The sequence below is a fragment of the Homo sapiens genome, chromosome 10 (genome assembly GCF_000001405.40).
Source record: "Homo sapiens chromosome 10, GRCh38.p14 Primary Assembly".
Taxonomy (NCBI): domain Eukaryota; kingdom Metazoa; phylum Chordata; class Mammalia; order Primates; family Hominidae; genus Homo; species Homo sapiens.
The window spans coordinates 2068149-2076437 of NC_000010.11; the positions used below are offsets into that span (position 1 = coordinate 2068149).

At 40.4% G+C, this 8289-nt stretch overlaps 1 non-coding gene across 1 annotated transcript, besides 2 other annotated features; it reads right to left on the reverse strand.

Moving 5' to 3' along the window:
* Positions 2145 to 2646: an enhancer, noted in NCBI's record as "H3K4me1 hESC enhancer chr10:2112487-2112988 (GRCh37/hg19 assembly coordinates)". NCBI's record gives its function as "activates a minimal SCP1, AML or CMV promoter by ChIP-STARR-seq in naive H9 embryonic stem cells {active_cell/tissue: H9 hESC(naive)}" and the evidence as "EXISTENCE:reporter gene assay evidence [ECO:0000049][PMID:30033119]".
* Positions 2647 to 3146: an enhancer, noted in NCBI's record as "H3K4me1 hESC enhancer chr10:2112989-2113488 (GRCh37/hg19 assembly coordinates)". NCBI's record gives its function as "activates a minimal SCP1, AML or CMV promoter by ChIP-STARR-seq in naive H9 embryonic stem cells {active_cell/tissue: H9 hESC(naive)}" and the evidence as "EXISTENCE:reporter gene assay evidence [ECO:0000049][PMID:30033119]".
* MIR6072 (microRNA 6072) lies at positions 7871 to 7941 on the reverse strand. The gene has a single exon (NR_106720.1). It is a non-coding gene; the product is annotated as a microRNA 6072 (primary transcript).
* Between the last annotated feature and the right edge of the window lie 348 nt (positions 7942 to 8289).

Genomic DNA, 8289 nt, shown 5'->3' on the forward strand with positions numbered 1-8289 from the left:
TGAAAATCAACTAATCAACTCACAAAGAAACGTTAAGAACAACAATAGTCTTCCAATTTATACCTCGTGTAGCTAGAGTATAACTTCAGATTAAATGGTCAGAGTGAGTCTAGGCTTAGCACACATGTGAAGCCCTAGAATATCTGAATTAATGTTATTTTTACTGGACTGCTTCTGTTTTTTATATATATAATACATATTTATGAGGTACATGGGTATTCTGTTACATGCATAGAATATGTACGGATTAAGTCAGGGTATTTTGGGTATGACGTTATGTTATTTTAAATCAGGCTATGAGCTATGTCGTTGCTCATATGTAGTTGCTTATATAATTTAGGGGTCAAAATTATTTTCCTTGTAATTCTGCAGATCTTATTCTGTATCTTGTCATGCAATAATGTAGAAAATCTTTAAGCCAAACTGTGCCCCCACCCCCACACAATTTTAGAGATTTGATAATTATCTCAAAGTCTTTAATTAGTAGAGGTAAAGAAAAGGTATCTCTTTTGGTTTGGTAATACAGGCTTTTACTGGAGACAGTAAAATTTCATAATATGGACTGAATATATTGTCGTCTGTCACTTAATTAGGGAATGAGATTTGTATCATATGAACTGCTATTAGTAAAACTGCAATTGAAATCAGTAATTAATACTCCCATCTGGAACTAGCCCCAATTAGCATGGAACAAAAGCTGCAGCATGCTGGACAGCTGCTAGGTTTGAGTGGATTTGTGCTGTGTCCTAATAAAGGGTGCAACATTTTTAAAGAAAATATTAAAAAGCACCGTTTTGGTGATCGGGTAGTGAGGAGAATCGAGGAGGTGCAACGTGAGCTAAGCCTTGCTGTGTGGAAAGACAGAGCTTCTGCAGTAATGCCAAGGTTATTAGCTCCAAATCATTTTTAGTAGAAATTCTTGCAGTGCAAAATAACTTTGTGAATCTTAAATTTGCTAGAATTAACCCCAATTTTACCAATGAAACCATCATTTTTACAGAACAATTTTTTTGGTTGAAAACTTCTTTATAAAACATAATCTTCATAATTTAATGGAGTGTTTGTGTGTGTGTCCACACATTCTTCTTCTTCGTTTATTTTGCCTTGGGGAGAGGCCAACTTTCCTATGAATGCAGTCTCCACCATTCAGAAGGAGGTCTGTTTTTTAGGGTTTTTTGCTTTATAGAGTCAGGCTGTTTTCCAGTTCAAGAAAGTTTTCTTTCATTATGTACGTTTTATTTCTAAAATTCCTTCTTTGCTTCATTCTAGTAAAAGAAAAAAGTTATGACTGTCATTATTCACATCACACTGATATGAGCTTCTGCAGTAGGGATTAATCTCCTTTCAGTTTCTATTGTCATTTTGATTTATGCTATATCGTTTTTTCCTCATTCTTTTCTTAACACAATCAACTTTCTTTTCATCTCTGCCTGTTTCTTGTAGCTACCTTATCCTTTCCTATTTAAAAAAGCCCACAATACCTTTCTTACTTCTGAGAGTGTAAAGAGATGTGGTCAAAATGTTCTCAGGGTAAACACGGAGCAACAGATTTGGTGTATTTCATGATGCTGTTTTTGGTGTATTATCTCGTAATACTTTATACTTAATAGTTTTGGAATTCTCTTTATTATGGCTGTCTTCTCTCATTCTTGAATTGAGAAAAGTTTAACAAGCATTGACGTTTGTCTCAAAATGATACTGGTGAATTCTTATTTCTCATATTTCCTTAGATGCTGTTAAAACTTTCTTAGATTTTATGCTTTATTCTGGTTTACATAAAGGTACACATTTCACAAAGGATATGGTTTGAAAAGAAGTATGGGCTTAGTTTCTTTCTGGAGAATTTTTTTGTCTCTGTCTATATATTAATATATATATGTATATGGTATATGTGTCTTAATAAATATATATATTCTTTATTGAGAATATTAATAAATAGGAGAAAGTAGTCACAGAAATAATGGCTGTGCACTTCCAAACTTTGGTGATAAACATTAATCCACACATCCAAGAAGCTTGCTAGTCTCCAAGTGGGATAAGCACAAAGATACCCCACTCAGAGGCAGATCTTGGAACGTGTTCTGACCTCAGGAAAGCCCTGCTCAGCCCCTTACCGTGTTCTCCTTGCGAATTAGCTGGCCTGAAGGTGACACTGCTGCTGTCACAGAGTTCTCTGTGCCCTCCTAATTGCTCGCCACCACCATCTCCATTGTGATGGGGAATGCTGCCCGGCCTGAATGTTCCAACTGTCTGTTCTAAATACAGTCAGCTCTCCCAGAGAGTTCTGGAGCCTCGGTTCTTACTGCCTGCCTCTCCCTGGGCAAAATCTGAACCACTGACTTGGATCTGGGATGGGGTGAAGACAAGGGGGACTGTCTCTCAGGGGTGCCCTGCCTCAAAAGCTGGGTGCCTGGTGTCAAAGCCATCTCTGGTCTTCTGGGTTTGCTGCTATCAGTGTGAAACCCACCAGCAAGCTGGGTCAGGGCCACCTGCCTAGGAAGCTCAGCCCTCAGCCTGGGAGGAGCTTCTGCCCTACAAAGCGGGGCTGGCTGAGGGAAAGAGCTGCATCCTGCGATGGAAGTCGCCTGGGACTTAGCTCAGGGACATCCAGCCAGGGGGAGTAAGGAAGCTGGTGCCCTGCTCCTCCCAGAAAATCACCAGGACCCGAAAGACCATGAGGAGAGGGAGCCTCCTCCTGACCCTGCGGCCGCCCAGAGTGGAGCTGTGTCCTGCTGAGCAGGGCTGGGAGGGCCACACGCCCTTCTTAGCTCTACAGAGACCTGGTAGACTTTCTTGAGGAGACACTTTTCAGTTGCTATATACCTGTAGGATGTTTCCAAAGACTTTAAAGCACACTTTTTAAAAATTCCTTTTACGAGTCATGGTTTGTTTCTCTGGGAAGTGGGTTCACTGCCCTCAAATCACTTTTCCTGATATGACCGCTGTTGATTGTTAGGAAGAGTGGAGGGCTGTGCATTTTTATTACGATTTTCAGAGAAGTTCCCAGATACTATTTTTTTAAATCAACCCTCCTTTTAAGTCTTGGAAACTTTCTAGATATAGAAGATACTAGAGGAAGTTTGAATGTGAAGAATCACATGGTTATGGCTCTGTGGGCAGGGGGTTGTTTTCTTATTTTCGTAATTGCTTTTTTTTTTTTTTTTTTTTTTTTTTGAGATGGAGTCTCGCTCTGTCGCCCACGCTGGAGTGCAGTGGCGCGATCTCGGTTCACTGAAAGCTCCACCTCCCGGGTTCATGCCATTCTCCTGCCTCAGCTTCCTGAGTAGCTGGGACTACAGGCACCCGCCACCATGCCCGGCTAATTTTTTTGTATTTTTAGTAGAGACGGGGTTTCTCCATGTTAGCCAGGATGGTCTCGATCTCCTGACCTCTTGATGCGCCCACCTCAGCCTCCCAAAGCCCTGGGATTACAGATATGAGCCGCTGCACCTGGCCATAATTACTTCTTTAAATAAAATTGGATTCTAAATGAAAATTGAAAGCCGTGGGCTGTGTCTTTCCCTTTCAGTCCTCAGGCTGATTTCCTCACCCCCGGGAGCAATCCCTTAAATGGTGATTGTTTTCATCATTGTTACACAACCGTGATTGTTTAGTCAGCTGTGACTAGAAGATCAATGTATCATTTTTTCTCTGTCTTACTTTCTCTTTCCCAAATGTTTTTGTTATTTTCTTATTTTTAGTTTTATCTTTGTTACCTCTTTAATCATAAATGCTCTTTCATAATCAACTTTTTAATTTCCCTCTCTATGCTTCGTGTTAGACTTAATCACATCATTGCTTTTGTTACCCAAAATGGCGGCATACAGGCAAGTTCCAACCATTCAATGTATGTGTATGATGATTCTAAACACGAAAATTGAATAAGCAATATTAACAGTATTATAGTTATCTGAATGTTATTTGTCACATACGTAACAAATTCTCGTGACACTAAAATGAAAGAAAATTTCTTGTCAAAGTTAAAAATATTTGTGTTCATTACACTCTTTTATTGGATCCAATTGCCCACGTTTAATCTCTCACTTTTGTGCCATGTTTTTATTTTATAGAAGTGGTTTTCACCTGCACTTGTAACTGGCGTTTGAGTATTGTTGGCACACTCACCGGAAGAATGTTCCCCTCCCCTGCCCCAAACCTCACATCTTCATCCTGATTAGATTGAGTTTCAGTTCTGCCAAGGACCACCCTGAATTTATTTTTTCTTGAAAGATGGTTAGAAAGACACTTTTTCTTTGTCTGAAACTGTGTTTATTATTGAGCAATAATTTGGTTTGATATGGGATTTGATCTTAAAAAGTACCTTCCTTTGAAATTGATATGACACTCCATTGCCTTTAAGAACGAAAGTGGTCAAGGCTGGTCTACTTCTGAGGCTTTTGAAGGGAACCCGCTCTTCATTTCTTCCTGGGCAGCTCTTGAGAGCATCCTTCTATCACTGCGTTCCATGGTAGCTCATCCATTCTGGTTGTGTTGCTCCGTGTACCCTTCTGCATGAAAAGTCATCCTTCTTCAGCTTGTAACAGTGCAGCTTTTATTTGAAATAAAAGTTTATCCTCCGTGGCATGGTCTCCACTCTTTCTTTCTGCCCCTCCTATAAAGTGTACATTACCAGTCTTGAATCATTGGCTTTGCCTGAATGAATTGTCTTGCTCACCTGTTTTCTAGATTTGTTGTTGTATTCTAATTATCTGAGTGTTTTTAGATTTGTACTATAAATATCCTATTGGTTTTTTTACATTGTAATAATTATATTTCAAATGACTTGTTTTGTTTTGTTTTTTTGAGATGGAGCTTCGCTCTGTCACCCAGGCTGGAGTGCAGTGTCGTGATCTTGGCTCACTGCAACCTCCGCCCCCCAGGTTCAAGCGATTCTACTGCTTCAGCCTCCTGATTAGCTGGGACTACAAGCGTGTGCCACCACGCCTGGCTAATTTATGATTATACTTCAAATGACAAGACTAATTTTTAAAATCTCTGCATAGTTCCTTTATTAGAACAGCCTATTCTTGTATTGTAATTGGCTTCCCTCAAGTTTTCTATAAGGTGTTTAATGAAAATTAAATGTGCTAATTTTGTATATTTTGTGCTCTTCAGTTCTCCACTGTCTGTACTGATGGCCAGCAGCTTCTGTTGTGATTGTTCCTATTCATGACTTTCTTTCATAGTGCTTCACATGTATGTTCATTGATGTGTATTTGTACGTCAAAATCACATTTTTTTGGTTAATATAAAATGGTGATGTATTTATTTTCCTTTTCTACCCACAGTCTGGTAAATCAGACGTTTATAATCTATAGGGCAGTGTTGGGGAAGCGCTTTGCAGATGGGCTGGGAAGTGAATAGCTAAGCTTCAGTTCAACGTGGCTGCACAGTGGGCTGTTGAATTGGTTGAGACTCCCTCAGGTGCCACACTCAGCTGCATTCCCCCCTGGAAACATCGCCCAGCACAGCAGATCAACTGGAAGATTTGGGATATCATTTGTCTTTGTGCAGGAACTTGGGCTTGAACTTGAGGAAAGAAATTGCATGAGGACCTTACAGGTCATCTGCAAATAGCCATTAATTAATTAATTAATTAACCACCTTGACTCCATACCCACATCTGCCCTCTCTAAATGCCAAACAATAAATTGGGAGCTTTGCCAGGATATCTTCCTCTCACTTTGAATTTGTGTTTGAGACGAGTCCTTTCTTCTGTGATGTATCTATTAGATAAACCTTATCTATTTTCTATCTTATACAAATTTGCCAAAATAGCTCATCTACCAGAGCCCATATTCCTACTCTTAAAACCACAATCATTGCATCCCTTTGGTGTTCTTTATGTTTATTCCAGTCAAATTTGGGAAACAATAGAATTAAATACATATGGTAAATTGTTGTTTTTGACCTGTTGTGTGTTTACTGCCTAAGGCCAGTAGGGACTGTGAAAACAAACAAACAAACAAACAAACAAACAAAACTTATCATGGCAACAACAATCCAATCCTGTATTCTGAACTTGGGTTTCCTGTATCAGGTATCCTATATCCTGAATCTTAATGAATGTTTTCTGTTTATGTTGTCCTTGCTCACATTTCAAAGCTAAGCCTAACCTTGGTCAGTGTGTCCATCGCCTAATATTTTCCCTTTATTTCACTGACAAAGACAATTTAGTAAGACTTATGTCACTAAGCAAATTTCCATTTGTAGACACTGAATTGTTTTTTTTTTTTGTCTTTTTTTAATATACTTTAAGTTTTAGGGTACATGTGCACATTGTGCAGGTTAGTTACATATGTATACATGTGCCATGCTGGTGTGCTGCACCCACTAACTCATCATCTAGCATTAGGTATATCTCCCATTGCTATCCCTCCCCCCTCCCTCCACCCCACAACAGTCCCCAGAGTGTGATATTCCCCTTCCTGACACTGAATTGTTATACAGAAATAACTTATCAAGGAAGATATATGCAGCTTGCATAAAATGTGATTTTTAAAAAGTGTATGATTTTTTGTTTGTTTGTTTTGTTTTGCAGAGACAGGGTCCTGCTATGTTGCCCAGGCTGGTCTCAACCTCTTGGCCTTAAGTAATCCTTCCTGGTTGACTTCTCAAAGTTCTGGGATTATAGGCGTCAGCCACCATGCCTAGTATTGGGTGTCTTTAATTTCAGAGGGTTAGAATTATTCAAATCATAATGATCATACATACCATGGAGATACCCAAACTTTCACAGTTCCTAACCTCTTATCTTCACAGCCTCTCTGGCAATACCCTGAGATAGATAGAAACTGTACCTCTTTCTGTTGTATAAAAGTGGGCACCACCAGCTCTGGGAGTTACATTCCTGCAACTGAGCAGAATCGCCCATCCAGCTCCATTGAGCAGAATCGCCCATCCAGCTCCATTGAGCAGAATCGCCCATCCAGCTCCATTGAGCAGAATTGCCCATCCAGCTCCATTGAGCAGAATTGCCCATCCAGCTCCATTGAGCAGAACCGCCCATCCAGCTCCATCCTGCCACCTGGACACAGTGCAACCTGAGTGTGATATCGCAAACTAACAGCTCTGCACTGGGGCAGTAGGGTCAGCAGTGTGAATTTTATTTAAACTCACAAGATGTAAATATCATACCACGTTCAGAATGGAGCTTTTTGGATGCCTATTCTTCTGTCTCATTTCATAAATTCCTGAAGACAGTGAAAGGCAATGCAGATGGGCTTAATTATTATCTTCTTCTGCCTGAGCATGCTGTGAGAAAAGATTAACGGGAGGGAGAGAAAGAAGAGATAAAATATCCATGACACAAATTAGTATTTAGCATACATTTTGAAATCATGCTGTTTCTGCCAGCTTCATGCGTCTTGCCTCATGCTTCTCAACATACAGCAGACCACGACTCCTAATTTCTAGCTTGATCATATTACTATCTATGTTTCAAGCACATTTTCTCCTAGGTTTCTGATATCTCCAAATGTCTTGCACTATATAATTCTGCAGAGAAAGTATGAAAGTTGATCAGGATAAAACATAGAGAATCCTGTTTTAAAGGAGGGCAAACAGACCCTTGGTACCATTCTCGCCATTGTTCTTGAAGCTTGAGAAATTCTAGGTTGTGTGCTGAGCAGTTACAGGAGCTGTGGTATTAACGAACTGCCACATTAAATAAAAATAGGTTCGTACATTATGCACAATGAGTTGCCATGTTTAGCGTCTATTTCAATACTCATGGAAATAAGTTGAAGCACCTTGTTTAGTGCTATAATTTAAGAACTACTCTATGTAATGCAAACCAAAGATGAAATATGTTCATTTCAGCAGCAGCAAGCATATCTGAATGGAACCATCCTCTCGTTAGTAAGTGACTTCCAGGCAGCAGCTAAGGTGCAGTGTGATGAGGAGCAGTAGCAAAGCCCATCCCTGCACCAGCCCCCACCCTGCACCCCCAATTCCTGCCGCTGAACTTCTTCCTTGAAATTACCCAAGGGGAACGTTTTCCTCTGTGCCCTGCCGAAATTGTGCCCAGTCCTGTGCATCTCCCTAGTGGGTCCAGGACTCAGGACTCTGAACGGGCTGACAAGGGCACCTGGCCTCGGGCCTTGAAGGCAACCCCAGGAGTTCGAGTTTAGAACTCGGGAAGCAGGAACAGCTAAGGGCTACTTTGGAGGGGGCTTGTGTGTCTATGACCCGGCCTGAAGAAACAATGATCAGTGAAAACGTTCTTGGCTCATGACAATCCGTGCTTCCGGCTTTGTCAAGGATGTTCAAATGGAGAAGATGAATCAT